The 18,010-nt window shown below is 39.2% G+C and overlaps 1 protein-coding gene across 36 annotated transcripts in view; it reads left to right on the top strand.

Annotated features, from left to right (window-relative positions):
- CLASP1 (cytoplasmic linker associated protein 1) overlaps positions 1-18,010 on the top strand; it is a 311,687-nt gene that overhangs the window by 242,028 nt on the left and 51,649 nt on the right. For 13 of the 36 annotated variants that reach the window (XM_006712383.2, XM_006712382.2, XM_047443795.1 and 10 more), the window contains 5 exons: positions 3,001-3,064; positions 3,656-3,658; positions 5,763-5,926; positions 9,035-9,113; positions 10,152-10,295. In XM_006712383.2, the coding sequence (XP_006712446.1) occupies positions 3,001-3,064; positions 3,656-3,658; positions 5,763-5,926; positions 9,035-9,113; positions 10,152-10,295 (454 nt within the window). Of the gene's footprint in view, positions 1-3,000; positions 3,065-3,655; positions 3,659-4,771; positions 4,841-5,564; positions 5,568-5,762; positions 5,927-9,034; positions 9,114-10,151; positions 10,296-16,084; positions 16,187-18,010 lie in introns of all 36 variants that reach the window. The other 23 variants (XM_047443792.1, XM_047443791.1, XM_047443796.1 and 20 more) reach the window with 5 other exon arrangements.

Genomic DNA, 18,010 nt, shown 5'->3' with positions numbered 1-18,010 from the left:
TCTCCTGTTGGACTCTTCAGGGGTTTAAAGGGATTTCCTATAATTAATGGAGTCTAATTCCTATAATTAATGGAGATACCAAGAGGTCTGCTTGCAGGAACAGGCACTAAAGGTACCAAGATGACTAAGACACAGTCCTTGCCATCCATTTGCTTTGCCATCCATTTGCTTTGAAATATCTGGCAAATATCCTTTTTTTCTTTACTTTTTTTTTTTTTTTGAGATGGAATCTCGCTCTGTTGCCCAGACTGGATGCAGTGGCACGATCTTGGCTCACTGCAGCCTCCACCTCCTGGGTTCAAGCGATTCTTCTCCCTCAGCCTCCTGAGTAGCTGGGACTACGGGGGTACACCACCACGCCTGGCTAATTTTTGTATTTGTAGTAGAGACAGGGTTTCACCATATTGGCCAAGCTGGTCTTGAACTCCTGACCTCGTGATCTGGCTGCCTTTGCCCCCCAAAGTGCTGGGCTTACAGGCATGAGCCACCGCGCCCAGCCCATCTGGCAAGTATTCTATAATTTATTAAGCTGATAAAAGATGTAGGGTGGACACAGTGGCTCATACCTGTAATCCCAGCACTTTGAGAGGCCAGGGCAGGAGGAGCACTTGACTCCAGGAGTTCGAGACCAGCCTGGGCAACAAAGGGAGACCCCATCTCTACAAAAAAGTTAAAACATTAGCCGGATGTGGTGATATGCATCTGTAATCCCAGATACTTCGGAGGCTGAGGCAGGAGGATCACATGAGCCCAGAGTTGGAGATTGCAGTGCATTATGATTACACCACTGCCCTCTAGCTTGAGTGGCAGAGCGAAATCCTGTCTCAAAAAAAATAAAAAAAATAAAAAAATAAAGACCCCATATTTGGTTCCCTTCTGTTTGATATTTGTCCAGTAGATGTTATTTGAGAAATCTTCCTGTACAGTATGCAGTTCAGGTTAAAACATAAAATAAAACAACTCTGCAGGTTAGTATGGTTCATTATACTTTAGGGTCTTGGATTAAATGTTATCAGTCTTAGTTTGGAAAATTTTGATATGCATGTGCATATATGTAGCTTATAAATGTACATAGTGAGGAGATAACAAAATGGAGCACTCCAAAATAGTAACAGCATTGTCTTTTAGATGGATCGTTTTTGCTTTTTTCTTTGTTTCTGTTTTATAAATTTTCTAAAATAAGCGTGTATTACACATACCAAAAAAGTATGTGGTTATACCATATTTTGTCAAATCTAAGGCACCATAGACACACCCTTATTTTTAGCCCTTTAATTAATGCCACGTATTAAACCATAACAGTGCAAAAATGTCATTGATTATAAGATGACTCAATTACAGAGATGTGAAAACGGGAGAAAGGAGACGTGAATGGGAATTAAGAAATGGGCAACTTAGAGTACATGAAATGCAGTCTACTTTATCCTTTGGATGATTTTTATAAGATAAGTTAACGGTCATAGATGGGCATCCCTCTTGGGTTCTGTAAGGCTGAGCACTGCCTGATGAGTTGCTCAGCTCTCACTGTGGCTCTTCAGGCAGCCTGACTCCACCCTCCCGTACTCATACCTGCCCCTATTATTTGTCTGTTCACAAAGACGATACAGGAAGTTTTGCCTTCTGAAACGCAGGCATCCTGTGACACTTTGGTGACCTGTCAAAAATAGAAGATGATTTGTCACGATTGTTCCTCAAGAATCTGTTTAATCCTGGTGGTCCCACTTTGTAGATTCTTAGTGTTCACCAAGTACCCATTGAATAATTTCTAGGAATCTGTTGATTGGCATTGGTCTAATCTAGGTTACGTCGTTAACAATATTGAAGGGTTCTTGAACAAACTGTCTCATCCACGTAAGAGGGCATTAATCAGGGATGATTTGTGGAAGAGAGGACACTTCTATCAAACTTTAAACATGGGACTTGGTAGTAGTCAAGGATCAGAAAAGGCAAAGGGCACCAATGTGAAATGAGTGTTTGCTTTGTCCTAGGTACGGTAGAAGGTACAATGTTTTATCTTTTAATCCTCTCAGCAGCCACGTGACATGGTCCTTATCCTGTTTGACCAATAAGGAAATCACAGGCTTAAAGATAGCAGAGTACTTATTTATTTTATTTATTTATTTTTGAGACTGAGTTTCGCTCTTGTTGCCCAGGCTGAAGTGCAATAGTGTGATCTTGGCTCACTGCAACCTCTGCCTCCTGGGTTCAAACAATTCTCCTGCCTCAGCCTCCTGAGTAACTGGGATTACAGGCACCCACCACCATGCCTGGCTAATTTTTTTATTTTTAGTAGGGACAGGGTTTCACCACATTGGCCAGGCTGGTCTTGAATTCCTGACCTAAGGTGATCCACCTGCCTTGGCCTCCCAAAGTGCTGGGATTACAGGTGTGAGCCACTGCCCCTGGCCCAGAGTACCTTATTTACAGCAGAACTGAGATTAAAATCCAGATCTGTCTGACCCTGAAACACATGCTGTTTTGTTTTTTCCCTTTTTTGTTTTGTACCTCTCATTAAAATGCAGGATAGACATGCTTTTTAAACTTTATTCCATTGCCTTTCAGTTGTAGCATGTGGAAAACACAGCTGGGATAAAATGAAAAAGATTTGGTGCATGGCTTTGTCACTTCCAGATGTGTTAGCTTGAGTAAATCACTCAGTCTTAGTTTCCTCATCTTAAAATGAGAGCAAATCTCTGGTTTTATATTCCTATTTGATTTAGCTATAAATTAAATAAGAGTTTGTGAAAAAACATTGTTATGTAGATACGAATTATGTAAAGCTTATGTAGTTGACTGATCAAAAAAATTACCCAGGTGTGGTAGTGTGCACCTCCCAGCTACTCGGGAGGCTGAGGTGGGAGGATCACTTGAGCTTGGGAGATCAAGGCTGTAGTGAGCTATGATCGCACCACTGCACTCTAGCCTGGGTAATAGAGTGAGACCCTGTCTCAAAAATAATAAAAGTAGTAAATTCATTGATTTCTGTTTTATTTCTTCTAGTCGAGTTGAACTGAAAAGGTTGTGTGAGATCTTCACTCGGATGTTTGCTGACCCTCATAGCAAGGTAAGTCTGAAGTCATGCCTGCCCTGTCTTTACCCCTGCATGTCTGTGTGCTCTGTGTGATATACTACCCAAGAATGAGAGAGAATTCCCGATAGTGCAGTTCCGACCTTACAGAGTCACACCGGTTTCAGCACTAGTGTATGTTACATCTTTTAAAAACAGAATTCTTGGAAACTTAAATGTGCATAAAATTTCAAGTTAAATAAGTGTGTTTCAAGTAAATGTTATCAGGGAGAGAATCAGATGGTCTTTCTTATATTCAGCAAATATTTTTGTATGTCTCCTCTTAGCCAAACAGTGAGGTAGGTGCTAGGGTATAAGATTATATTATAATATCATGCATTTTTTAATGTTATAGTAGTGAAGAAAATAAGTATATAATTATTTTTGTATCCCGTGTAGAATATGTCCGTATAGGACAAGATAGAAAAAATGAGAATATGTAATGGATTTATTGATAAACCAGGTTATTTCATAAAATAGGATTTTGCTGTTACCAAGAATTTGCTGAACGGGGATCACTTAGCTGGTGCCCACACCTCCTGAGGGCCATAGGGAACACTAAGCCCAAGGAATGCTTTTTTTGATGAGAGAGTCCCAGCTGAGGGGGAAATGCCCATGAGTATGGGACAGAACACTTTCCAGGGGTGGTGGAAAAGACGTGAGACAGGGTATCTTTACAGAAGTTTACTTGGAGTCTAGATTTTAAATACTATTGTTAGGGAGAAGGCCCTTAGAGACTATTAGATGCTTTTAGAGGAAGAAGGTAAGGTGTGGAAATGGATAGAACCTTAAATGAGCAGAAGCAAATCTTTAATGCTGACATGCAGGATCAACTACAGTTTTCCTAGTAAAGATGGGCTCCTCCAAGTCTTGCTGGAAGAAAGAAACCTGTGATGGCCAGAGAGCCCAGCCAGTTAGTCATCATCATCTTCTTTCTTTTCCTATCCTTGCTTCCTCGTAGGAATTGTCCTTGAAATATCAAACATCCATCCACCCATTCATTCACCCAGTCATTTAACATTTACTGAGTACCTGCTCTGGGGCAGGGATATAGAAAAGAAGATATGGTCCCAGCCTTTTGAGGTGCTCATGAGAGTAAAGGGGATGAATGCAAGGGTTCTCCTCCCCTCCCCCCACAACAGCTCTCCTCACTCAGTGTCATTCTTGAAGCATGTCTTTAAACTTTCTGCTGTGACCCTCACAGCAAAGTCAACATTAACAATATTAATAAAAATCCACTGGGCACAGTGGCTTACACCTGTAATCCCAGCACTTTGGGAGGCTGAGGTGGGCAGATCACCTGAGGTCAAGAGTTCGAGACCAGCCTGGCCAACATGGCAAAACCCTGTCTCTACTAAAAATATAAAAATTAGCTGGGCATGGTGGCGGGCACCTGTAATCGCAGTTACTTGGGAGGCAATCACTTGAACCTGGGAGGTGGAGGTTACAGTGAGCTGAGATCGCACCACTGCACTCCTGCCTGAACAACAGAGTGAGACTCTGTCTCAATAAAAATTCAGGAAAGACTGAGCTTAAAGGCCACATAGATATCCAAAGATAAAATTTATCAAGATTTTTCTCTAAGGTAGTGGTAAAAGCAGTAAGATTTAACTCATAAGCATAATTAGATTCTTAAGATTTATAACGTGAACACTATTAGATGGTTTAGAACACTGATAAATTTCTGTTACCTGTCACCCCTAGATTGCTGATTCAGAAGCAGAATGTGAGGATAAAGAAGGAAATTTGTTTCCATCAGAAGTCTCTTGTACAGTGAGTTTGGAGGTCTCAGTTTAGTTAGTATTTGTTAGCTGCCTGTAAGTGAAGCCAGGAATCCCACAGCTGAATGACTTTTTCCTGAGCTGTCTCACAGGAGACCCCTGGTGGTGAATAGTTGCTGTGCTAGAAATGAGGCGGTATAGGGTTTGTGGTTTGTCCAAGTAGAACAAGTTTCATTAACAAGGTAGGGATACTCAGTGCTACTTTTCTCTCTGAAATTGGTTCAGAGATATTCCACTGTGCACTCTATTTTGCCTTAGCAAAAATCATTACACAACAGCATGATGATTATGTTAATATTTTTATATATTTTATTCTAAGCCGTAATCTATTACTTTATGATATCTGAAATTGGTATACATCAAAATGTCTGACGTGAAAAGCAATAGCTACACAATAGTGAGTAGGTGTTTTTATTGGCTCATTTTATAATAGTATTTGTTGACTGCTAGATAGTGAATAAGAATACTATAGAATTAGGGCAAGAGGATTTGTTGTTGTTTAAGAAAGAAAAGCCTTCAGGATTAAACACAGAAAAGTTAATTTCTCTCTGTACTGCTTTTTAAAGACTTACATTGATGGAGGAGAGAATATTTCATTGGTTTGTAGCCTTTTCAGGTTTTCTTAAAAAAACGCATGAAAATGGTATTAATTCACTGCCAACTAACATGGAATTTGTTTTGTTGCATGGCCTCGTTTGCGGTGGAATTCACAACAGAGAGTAAGTTCCATTTCTTTTTCCTTTATCTGTTTTCTGCACTACATTTTCCTTCTGTACTATGAACAGTTGTTAACAGTGTTAACCTAAGTTACAAGAGTCTGGGCAAAGCACGTATGGGCATTTTTAATGTTTTGTAGACTTTGGAGGAGATCGTGAATTCAATATGTGAACTACTTGGTTTTCATTTGTGTCTAGGTTTTCAGTATGTTTTTGGAGACTCTTGTGGATTTTATAATAATTCATAAGGATGATTTACAAGACTGGCTTTTTGTTCTTCTCACACAATTACTTAAGAAAATGGGAGCAGATTTACTTGGATCTGTGCAAGCAAAAGTTCAAAAGGCTCTAGATGTCACAAGGTAAGTGTTTAAGGGTTAGGTCCATTTTGATGTTACAGGATACTTGTAAGTGACTTTTTGCCATTCTCTTTTGTTACCCATGGCCTTTGTCACCCCCTTGAATATCTCTTTTACTCAGTTCTCACTTTCTGTTGTTGACATACTTGTTGACATGTCCCACCAGTCCATGAAATGAAATACCATATCTTCCTTGTGTTGATATTACTTTTGTGAGTATTTAAGACATATATAATAAACAAATGTAAAACTTTGGAAATTGATTCTCTTCTCATTAAAAAACATTTAAAGGGAACATTTAGAATATTTGTTTACATTTCTCTGAAGACCTTAGTATTTTTATTACTTCAACTTACAAGTCTTACTAGAAATTTTTCTATCGGTGTATGATGTAGAGTTTCCATTGGTCCAGGAAAATTCTCTAAATTAATAGTACACTGGCTAGAGATTAATAGCACATTTGCAGTAGTTGTGACCCTTCTGGCTGTTATGAGAAAAGAAAAGCTGCTGAAGCCCAGAAAAGTTAGAAAAAGTACATGCTGCTGCTGTTCAGAAACCGCTTCTCTATTGTCTATGCAGTTGTGGGTCCTCAATATGCAAGTATGAAAGTTGAAACATCTCAGAAGACACTTTGCAATAATGTCTTGGTTGTGATTTGGTGGAAGATGGATGGGGGGAATGTCAAATTGGTGAACTTTTTTAAAGAACAAAGGAATAACTTCCAAGTCACTCAGAAAATTATCAGGGCAATGACTTTTATAAGTTACTACAAACTGGAATAATTCTAGTTATCATAGAATTTCAAGATGGAAGGACCTTAAAGATGATGCTCATTTTATCAGTGAGAAACAGACAGTTTGCCTTGACTTTGTGTTAGTGGCTGTTTGGGAACGCAAATCCAGGATTTCTGAAGATTGCACTGTTGTCTGTTTTTATTGTTGCAGGCTATCTTGTGGGTGTGTGTCCTCACCTCCTGTGGGGGCAGGGGGGTGGTATGGATAGCACTGGAACCTTCTCTTCCCTCTCTGGCTCCCTTGACTAGCACAGTAGCACATCCTGCCCTGCCGGCATCTCCCTATGCGTGCAGCTTTTACATGACTCTGACTTCAAAGTATGCGTCTGTTCCTCTACACCATGATGCCAGCTGTTTTCTTTTGGCCCTTGACCCTGTCAGTCTGTGTAATTGCATTGCTCTAGAATTCTGTTATCCAGAGCGATTACCCTTCTGGTTTTTAATGAACTCAAAGTAATGTACTTGCATCTGTCGGTGAGGCCATAAAAAAAGAATATTAAATAAATAAATAAATAAGAATCAAAGTAATGTACTAAATTTGCAATAAAGCTTTCAAACTTCGTCATTCCTTTGCATGGCTAAACTTAGTGGAGTTAGGGAGCATTACAGTACACCATTATACCAGTGGATTATAAAGGTTTAGCCAAGATTGACTGAGGGGCTAGGCTGATAAGCTGGTATAATTGAGTGGAGTAGATAGGATGGCTGTTGATAGACTGGGGCCGGTTGTGGCCACATTGGGACATGGGCTCAGTAGTACCAGACTTTTCAAGAAAGGTCAGAAATGTGGATTTGGGCAACATATTTGAGAATTTTTTAAGATACTGTGAAGGCCAAATAAAACACATGTGAGCCAGACTTGGCCTGTAGGTCGCTTAATTTAGGTGAATTTACCAATGACCAGATCTATTTCATATATTTAGGAATGGTAGGAGTATTAAGATTGTGTTCCTAAACTTTGGTGATTAAGGAATACAATTGTGACCTCCTGTTAGTTTTCCTGGATGCCCCTTTAAGAGTCCTAATCTCAGTAGATTTGGTCTGAGTGCCTAAAGCGTTTTTAATATTCCCTTCTTTTTCTCAGCAGTTGAGATGCACAGCTGTTTAAGCTGATCTAGAATAGTCAGCGACTGCTAATAGGAGGTTTTAGTGATGGCTGAGAATTGCTTCTCAGTTTATAGACTTGAGTGCTAATCTGCCTCAATTTCCTTTCCTTTACCTGTGCCTAACAATGGCGTATTTCCCGATTATACACACCCATTACTGAAATGTATTCTCCATCCACCCCATGCTGCCAGAAGAAGGGAGAGACATTTTGTGGGTGGTTTGTTGACATAGTCACTTAAATTAGGTATATTAAAGTATGCTTTCCTTCCCGAAGAGATCTTCAAAGATTCCAGGGTATTATTGGATCAAGTTTACTTTTTATTAGTAATTATATGTAGGATAACACTGGTACCTGATATGTGCCATGTGCTTTTTATTTTTATTGTATGATTTTATTGACTTTTCAAACCAGTTCTATTTGCTTCATTTTACAGAGTCAAACCTACTTCTTTATTTTACTACATTTACGTAGATTGGGAAAAATCTCTAAGAGAGTCCAAAGAAAGCAGTGTAGATATTTGCCTTGCATTTATCTTTCCTGTTAATATGGAAGTTACATCACCATTTTCCACGTGGGCCCCATTGTGCAATTTTAAACTAATACTAGTAATTACAGCATTTTAACAGAAAGAGCACTGACTCTCTGGCCAAGAGAGAGAAGGGGCTTCTGGGACCCCAGGCTTCTGTGTGTGATTTGTAGCTGGATGGGAAATGTTTTGTCGCCATCTCACAGGCATTCTTCTGTGGTGTGCAGGGACCCTAAGCAGTGACCAGGACCAAGGAGGATGATACGGTTAGTTTAAGCAGGGTCAGCTGTAAGCAGCCCGGTCAGGATGTAAAAATGAGATTTGGGTATCAGAAGTGATTTTTATGTTTAAGCAATATCCAGAAAGGTAGCTGGAGGGAAAATGAGCGAATCCCTAGAAAGGCAGGTAGAAATTTCTCCTTAGTTTATTGCTTAGTCTTAATTTTTTAAATAGCCACTCAAAGTAAGTTCAATTTGTGTTTGGGGACTTGCAAAAAGATCTTCCTTTTTCCATATTTTCTGTATAACATGTATTACTCTACATAAAACGAAAAGCACTATTTATTAAAAATGTGAACAGGGTTTTACATACATTAACTTACAATGGTATGCTTTTGTTAAATAGTTTTACATTGTTTTGTAATAAATTTCTTTAAAAATAAGCACTTTTTTCCCACCAACCTAGGGACTCCTTTCCATTTGATCAACAATTTAACATTTTGATGAGATTTATTGTGGATCAAACTCAAACTCCAAACCTCAAGGTCAGTAATTATTTGTCATTACAATTCAACCCTGGAACTCACATTTGTTTAAATTTACTTTTGTTTATGTATGACCCATGTTTAGCTATTGTGAATAAATCTGCTGTGAGCATTCTTGTTTGATTCTTTGTGGACATGTTCCTGTTTCTCTTGGTTCAGTACCTAGTAGTGTATTTGCTGGTTCATTGGGTAAGTACATGTTTAGCTTTTTTAGAAACCACTAAAATGGTTATACCATATTGTATTCCTACCAGTAGTTTATGAGAGCTCTAGTTTTGCTGCATCCTCACCAGCATTTGGACAGTACTAGTCTTTTTCACAATTAATATTTAAACTAGAAAATTAAGACATTCTTGTGTGTAGAGATAGGTATCTTATTGGAATGTTTAATATTAACATTCTAAGCTGTGAAAGTTAATCGTTACATGTTGTGGAAAATCATACCTGTAATAACAAGACCAAGTTTGAGGGAGGATGTATGTTAATTTGAATTAGGTCACGTTCATCATCTGTTCTTTGATCATTAACTTTTTGGAGGTTTTAGGATGAGTCTAACAAATAATTACCTTTTCCTCCTGAAGTCAAAGCTAGTTGAGAAGTTGATGGTGAAGTTAGGACAGAGCATCAGCTTGATTACTGAAAATGCTGCCTTACAGAACATGGCCTAGAACGTGTGACAAAACTAGAGCTGAACATGCCCTGCAGTCAGTGGCAGAGCTGGAAATCCCACGGGCCCCTCTCAAGGGCTCCTGCCCTGGAAGTGTCTTGCAGCATAGATGAGGAGCAGAGCAAGCTTCTCTACAGGCAGCTAAAAATGAAGAAAACTGAGCCATGTGCCTCTTCCTGTCCCCAAACTTACCCATCAGCCATTTCATGCTTTTTCCTCTGTTGGATGTCGCTCCACGTGGAAACTATCGATACAGGAGAAAGGAAGGAGATCCCCCTCACCAGGGTTTACTTTTCTCTGGCCACCTGATAAGAATTGTGTTCAAAGATTCATCAAGTGTACTTAATGTTTATAATTATTGGTTCTTTCAGGTCAAAGTTGCAATCCTGAAATACATTGAGTCTCTGGCCAGACAGATGGATCCAACAGATTTTGTAAACTCTAGTGAGACAAGGCTTGCTGTTTCTAGAATCATAACCTGGACAACAGAACCAAAGAGTTCAGACGTGAGAAAGGTATGTCCAAGAGAACCGACGTGTAATTACAGATTGTTCCTGGGCTTGTGTTAGAGAAATGTATTTAGAAACTTGAAAACCGTGCCACCCACCCACAAACCTATATCACTAAGGCTCTGCTGTTGCCCTTTTCTCTCTCCAGCTCTGCCCAGTTTTGAATATAAAAATGAAAATCTGAAATCTTGCATGATGGGCTTATGGTTTCCCCAGGCATCTACTTTATATATTTTCTAATATGAAATCACTAGTAAATTAGTGTCTTTTACACAGATGTTTGTTTTCCTTATATCAGTTTGTAATACGTACTTTGAAGATAAAATTGCAGATCTAGGGCTAGCTGGCTACAGGGTCCCTGATCGTAAAATGTGGTTGAAAAGTTTGATAAGACGTAATAGATGCTTAAAAAAGAGCAAACGTCTTTCAATACGTAGCACATAAGTATATGTGTGATATGTGAGTATGTGCTTTTGTAATGGAATGTTACTTAAGTATTGCCTGGTACGGGCTGAAACTTATTCTATATTTGCATATTACCTCGATTAGGACCTGTTTGGGACAAACTAGCTTTGATCATAATACCCACTCCCTGTGGACATGCACATTAGAATATTTGAACTAGGACTTACTGTCCTTATTATTCTAATCAGAACATTACAGATAATTTCGAATGATTAGCCTGATGCTCCAAAAACCTCAACTTATTTTAATACTAGCTCAAGCCAAATATAAATAGAACGTTGGATATATTGCCAGAAATCACTTTGTTCATTTGCTGTTTGAATGAGCTTCAACACTTGTTTTCAGTTATTTTGGATTATATAGTGTTACTTTGCAAAGCTTTATCTCCACTGGCGTGCTACTTTCCATGCCTGCCCCACTAATTCTCCTTTCCCATTGTGAGGTGTACTTAACTCCTCACCTTCACACCTAACTTATACCCAGGTTCTAGGACCATAATCCTGATCTTCAGAGGAATTTCAGAAGATTTAGATTAATAGTTCACAGTCCTGGCTGCAATTAAAATCAACATAGATTTCTGAGCTCTATTCCCAAGTAATGTGATTTAATTGATATAGGGCAGAGCGTAGACACTCTGTTGTTTTTTCGATTGGGGTTCCTTTCACTCTTGGCTGATTTTTAATACACAGACAAGGCCTAGTATTTTGGGCCATGGCCTTGGAATGAATCTCAAGACATGCAGACTACTGATATAGTCTTGATCTGGTTCTTGCAAATTCTCTTGCTACGGAGTGTTGCTCCTCAGTATCTTCAGGACTAGGCTTGGCCTCTCTGTTCCCTGGCATCTTCCCTACCTCCCTTCCTTGGACCTAGAGTGTTTGTGCTTCCTCTAAACCCACTTTAGTGGTTAGGGCCCTGTTACCCTGGGCAACTTCCTTCAAACTGATGGAATACCTGCCTGGTTTTCTGTGTATTGTCAGCTCAATGCACTCTGTATTGATCATAGAAAGCTTCCTAGAGAAGATAAGATTCATCCTCAGATGTGGAATATGGATGCAGTTTGCATAAGTGATGAGTTTAGGGAAAGGACAGTAGTCATGTTTAAGAAATGAGATTTGTCTGGGAACAGTGAAATAGACTGATATGTCTGAAGCAGAGGGTTTGGGAAGATGAGCAGTAAGGAGACTGTTTTGCTCACCCTGCATGCTCAGTGCCTGGCATATACCTGGAGTAACATAGTGGGCATTGATATGTTTTGAATGAATTAATGAATGATAAATACCCATATGGAAATTATTTCATTTCAAATGATATTTTGAAGCCATCATTTTTAAGACTAGTTTTGAAAATTCCCTTCTTTTGACTTCGTTATTTGTTTTCTATTGTATAACAAATTACCACATACTTAGCTTGAAACAATACAGATTTATTATCTCACAGTAATAAGTCAGGAATCTGACATGTGTTCTCTGGGTCCTCTGCTTGGTGTCTCAAAGGCTGAAACAAGATGTCATCTGGATCTGCAGTCTCATCTGAGGCTGAGGTCTTCTTCCAGCTCATTGGTCCTTGGCAGATTTCAGTCTCTTGCAGGTGTAGAACTCAGTTGCCTCCTTCCTTCCTCATTGTCAACGGGCAGCCATTCTCAGCTAGTAGAGGCTGCCAGGAAGTTTGCTTGTTCAAAGCTATCGGGAGAATACATGAAGAAATAATATCTAAGAAACTCCCCAAATTTGACAAAAAAAATTACACATCTGAGTAGCCCAACAAACTAAAAAAATTTGTTTTTTTGGTTTGTTTGTTTGAGACGGAGTCTCGCTCTGTCACCCAGGCTGGAGTGCAGTGGCGCGATCTCGGCTCACTGCAACCTCCGCCTCCCGGGTTCACGCCATTCTCCTGCCTCAGCCTCCCGAGTAGCTGGGATTATAGGCACATACCACCATGCCCGGCTAATTTTTGTATTTTTAGTAGAGAAGGGGTTTCACCATGTTGGTCAGGCTGGTCTCGAACTCCTGACCTCGTGATCCGCCCACCTTGGCCTCCCAAAGTGCTGGGATTACAGGCGTGAGCCACTGCGCCCAGCCAAGATTTTTTAATAAAAGGATTCACACCTAGACACATAACATCTAATTGCTGAAAGCCAAAGAGAGAATCCTGAAAGCAGCAAGAGGGGAGAAACTCATCCCATGCACAAGTTCCTCAATAAGATTAACAGCTCATTTCTCTTCAGAAACCACAAAGGACAGAAGGCAGTGGATGACATTGAAGGTACTGAAAGAAAGAAAGCGCTCAGCCAAGAATTCACTGTTTGGCAAAACTCTTCTTCAGAAATGGAGAAATTAAAACAAAACCAGCCATAGAATCTCTCTCATTTTGAATCTCTCTGATGCCTTTTAAGGGCTTGCCTGATGAGGTCAGGCCCATCCAGGATAATCTCCCTTTGGATTAACTCAAAGTCAACTGATTAAGGGCCTCAATTACATTTTTGAAAATCACTTCTGCCGTGTAACACAATCATGGGAGTGATATCCATTATATTCACAAGTCCCGCTCACTCTAAGGGTGGGAGAGGTTATATAGGGTGTAATACGTTATGGGGAATCTTAGGGGCCGTCTTAGTGTCTTGACTACCAGGGCTTTAGTGTCTCTTTTAGGGGGTTGGCAGAAGGCTTCCATAGTTATTCGATAATTCCTTGGCTCTTATTTTAGAAGGGCGCTTTTTTACCTATCTATGCAAATTATGATGTGGTTCAACTTACTTAGCAGATGCATGTCTGTATTCTGGCACCCTCTGGATTTTTTTTTTTTTTTTAATCATCCAAGATATCCGTGGCTCTAAACTATTTGGCTTTCAGTAACATTCAGCACTAACTAGTAAAGCATTACTTTTGATTCAAATAGATGTATCATAGGACAGTATTAAAATAGATGTCCTCAAACTCTACATTAGGGCACTGCAGATTAATCCTTTTTGGAGGTAGATTCACTTTTATTTAAATTCCCTGTTTTGATGTAGCATCCGTTGAACATTTATAAATATAGTTGCTTTTGTAAGTGATGCAGCTGCCTTACCCAAGAATATGAGACGTTCTTGAAGCACTGTCAAAATGAAGGTAGTGCCTAAATAAATTAAAATACTTAGAATTGTGATGTAGTATTTATCACTACTCTAAGATCTAAAATTGATAAGATTTAAAATTATTTTAAACTGTATGAAAACTAGTACCATTCTTATCTAGATCATTTAACACACTAAACATAAAATACATGTCTGTATAAATAAACTTTGTTCTGCCTCATCCTTCATTTCCAGAGTTTTTTAAAGGTTATATCAGGGATTGAGGAAATCTTGGTGATTTAAAAGCGTTTTGTGATCTTAAACCAAGTTCTTCTGTGAATGTCCTGCTTTAATTTTTTTAGGGTAGGTATTCCAAATACAGAAGAGCCCTTCAGTCTGAAATTTATACAGTAAATTCTCATATTAGACTCATCTCTGGAGAATATTTTATGTAAACAGTACCTGGGGACTTTTCAGACAACATAATTCATTCTCTAAGTCCATACAACCATGTTTGTGAAAGCACTTTTGAAGCATTTTAAACTTATAACAAGCTGATATAACCCAGATTAATTGATTTTAGCATTTTTAATATTTTGTTTTCCTTAGCTCAGTATATTGGGGTGTTTCACATTTTGGAGGGAGGGGTGCTTAAATTGTTAAGGTGTTTTTAAAATCAAAACACGAACGAATCACCAGTGAGTGAGGTGTGCTTACCACACTGAGACTGGTTTGGGCAAGGTGAAAAAGCCCAACCCAGTCTGTAACTAGCCTGCTTTATTCCAAAAGTAAACTTTTCCATTTTCTCAGTGTGGGAGCCCTGACTAGTTTAGTTGTGTGATGAAACTATGCAGACGTACACTAGACCTTTCTTAATGCACTGTGTTGATGTAAGATAATAGTATATATTACTGATAGAAAGAAGGTGGGTTCTGGAGTTTGACATCCATTTGACATCTGCCTCTGCCACTCATTGGGGTCAGAGCAAGTAATTTAATCCCTGAGTTCTTGTTTATTATCTGTAAAATCGGAATAATAATACTTGCCTCAAACTGGGCATGGTGGCGCATGCTTGTAGTTCCAGCCTCATGGGAGGCTGAGGCAGGAGGATTGCTTGCAGCCACAGGAAGAGTCCTATCTCTATACATAAATAACACTTATCTCAGGCATTACTGAGAAGATTAAATTTCATAAAGTATATTAAAACTTAGACATTTTATTTGCAGTTGCAGCTCTGCTATTATTGTTTGAGGATTGTTTTGGTTTTGCTGCTGCTGTTATTTATGGAATAAACTGAGTACCAGAATTTTTTCTAAGATTTAGGAAGCCAGGTGATCAATCAAAGGGAATGTGGTAATGGCAGTAGAATTTTAATTATATGTTTACATTTTGGAATTTAAAATGCCTGTATGTTTGCTTATCACATGTGACTCTCTTTGTCAAATGAAGCAACAGATTTAGCCCCCAAACCTTGTTTTGAGAAGTGTGGGCAAAAAGGCGTGGCGAAGAAACCTAGAAGTATAAAGATGCTGTTGGCTAGAGCAGGGAGAAGTATTAATACATAAATTGCCTTCAAAAGATGAGATATCTAGTTGACTTTTAAAAAAATATGATTATAAAGGCAGCATGCCTCTAGTCTGAAAGCTATGGGTTTTACTATCAAATAGCTGGATCTCAGCTTAACTGTGACTGCGAGTCTCTTTCAAGTCTTTTTTGTTGTTGTTGAGACAGTCTCGCTCTGTTGGCCAGGCTGGAGTACAGTGGCACGATCTCGGCTCACTGCAACCTCCACCTCCCAGGTTCCAGCGATTCTCCTGCCTCAGCCTCCTGGGTAGCTGGGATTACAGGCACATGCCACCACACCCAGCTAATTTTTGTATTTTTAGTGGAGACGGGAGTTTCACCATGTTGGCCAGGCTGGTCTCAAACTCCTGACCTCAGTTGATCTGCCCACCTTGGCCTCCCAAAGTGCTGGGATTATTACAGGTGTGAGCCACCACGCCCGGACTCTTTCAAGTCTTATTTGGACATCTTCCATTTCATCACCTGTAGCAAGAATACTACTTTCAAGATTATTAAGTAAAAGACCTAGTGATACTACTGAGGGTTAAAACTGACAGCTAATGTTATTATTCTGATTCTTCCTTACTTTCAATCATGTGTGTCTTGCTGATTTTATCTAAGAAGCCAAATGCTTTTATAGCTAACAGATTGCCATGTTTAGGCACTTTCTGCTTCTCTCTGATTCAATCCTCCCAACTTTCCTGTTTGCCAGTCCTCACTTCAGCGTAGTCGAGTAGGTGAGGATTTCCCCACTAGGTCAGCTTCAACCTGCTCTGGTCCTGGAGAAGGAAACTTGGAAGAAAGTTGTAAACAGGTAGACTGAAAACTGTGTACTAATTTCAAACAGCATACTTCACTGTTTGCATTTTAGATTATTAATACCAGTTGCCCTTGTGAAGGCTCTGGGAAGCTTTTGAGAAATGTAAAATTAATATAATAATATATGAGCGTGTGTATGTGTGCCTGTGTCGACGTTTGTGTTGTGGTGTGTTTTATGATTAACTACCTTCTCAGTGATATAGCCATGTTTATGTCAACCACTACCATGTTTTAATAGAATAGTAAAAACGAAAGATATTAGGCCGACACAGTGGCACACGCCTGTAGTCCCAGCTACTTGGGAGGCTGAGGCAGGAGGATTACATGAGCTCAAGGCTGCAGTGCACGGTGATTATGCCTGTGAATAGCCACTGTACTCCAGCCTGGGCAACATAGCAAGACCCCCATCTCTTGAAAAAAAGAAAGGAGAGATACTAAATGAGAAATGTCTGAGGGTTTTGAAATAGTTTCTCTTTGGTGACTTTATGAAGCAGTTTTTAATGAGAGTCTGAAGGGAGCAGTGAGTTGTTTAATAAATTGGAAAACTCTGCCTTTCCTCTCAAATTTTGTTTTCCCAAATTAATACAAACACTGAAGTGTTTGGTAAAGCTTTGTTTTGATCTGATCTGCTAGGGAGAATTCCTTTCTGCTATAAGATGTGCAACATTCAAGACAGTTGATGTCCCTGGGAGTTGTCTTCAAATGGTAGCAGTGAGATGTGAAGAACCTTTTACAAACCCCACCTCTCAAATTCCTCTATGAGGGTGTGTGTGAGAATCATTTCATTTTAAGTTGCCATGTGATCCTTAAAATAAATTGCCCTAGGGTTGCCCATTAGAAAAAGTCAGCAGTACTCTGAGTTTTTCATCTGGCTGCCTAACGGTCTTGCCTCTTACGAAGATAACAGTTCACATATGCCGACAAGAACAGTGGCGTACTCCACTTTTTGAGTCACTAGTAAACATGAGCTATGCCCCAGGCTTTTTTAATGCATCTCTCCAGCCCAGTTCCATATCTGGAATTACTTGTTTAATGAGATCATATTGGTGGTAATGATAAATATAACCCAGTTTTCTTCCTTGCTTGGATTCCATATTTTAACCTCTCACTGATTCAGAGGGTTGGAGATAAAATATTTGAAAACAGTAACAGTCTAATTCGTGGCAAAACTCTGATATAAAATCTTTTAAAAATTGGATACTTGGGCCCGGCACTATGGCATATGCCTATAATCCCAGCTACTCCAGAGACTGAGGCAGTAGGATTGCTTGGAGCACAGGAGTTCGAGGCTGCAGTGCACTATGATTGGACCTGTAAACAGCTACTGCACTCCAGCCTGGGCAATGAGACCCCTGTCTCTTTTCTTAAAAATAAAAAAATGTATATTTAAATGATACTTTCTACCGTTTCTAGAACTTGGATCTTATTTTTAAAAGATTTTACTTTGGAAACACTCTAAGCTTCTAAGTTAATAATTTGCATCATGAAAAGCCTCAAGTTAGCTTGGACATTAGGTAACATTCTGGGAAGAAATATTGTCTCTTAAATAAAGGCAGTGGCACATTTCACATAAAAAGCGTACTATTCAAGAATGTAATCATATATTTTATAACTTTCAAATGCCATTTTCAACCAACAAAATTTAAGTGCCAATATCTTTTAATTAAATTGATGTGTTTTCCCTGCTACAATTCCAGGCTGCTGCTTTCTTTCCTCCTTGTAGTGCATTATTTTTCTGCATGCATTGTTTTTTTTTTTTCTAACACCTAATACAATGTTTTTTAAAAATATGCAGGTTACTTTGCATGAGTTTTGGAAA

This window comes from Homo sapiens, chromosome 2 (genome assembly GCF_000001405.40).
Source record: "Homo sapiens chromosome 2, GRCh38.p14 Primary Assembly".
NCBI lineage: Eukaryota > Metazoa > Chordata > Mammalia > Primates > Hominidae > Homo > Homo sapiens.
Note: the sequence above shows the minus strand (reverse complement) of the source record. Positions and strands in the feature narration are given on the sequence as shown.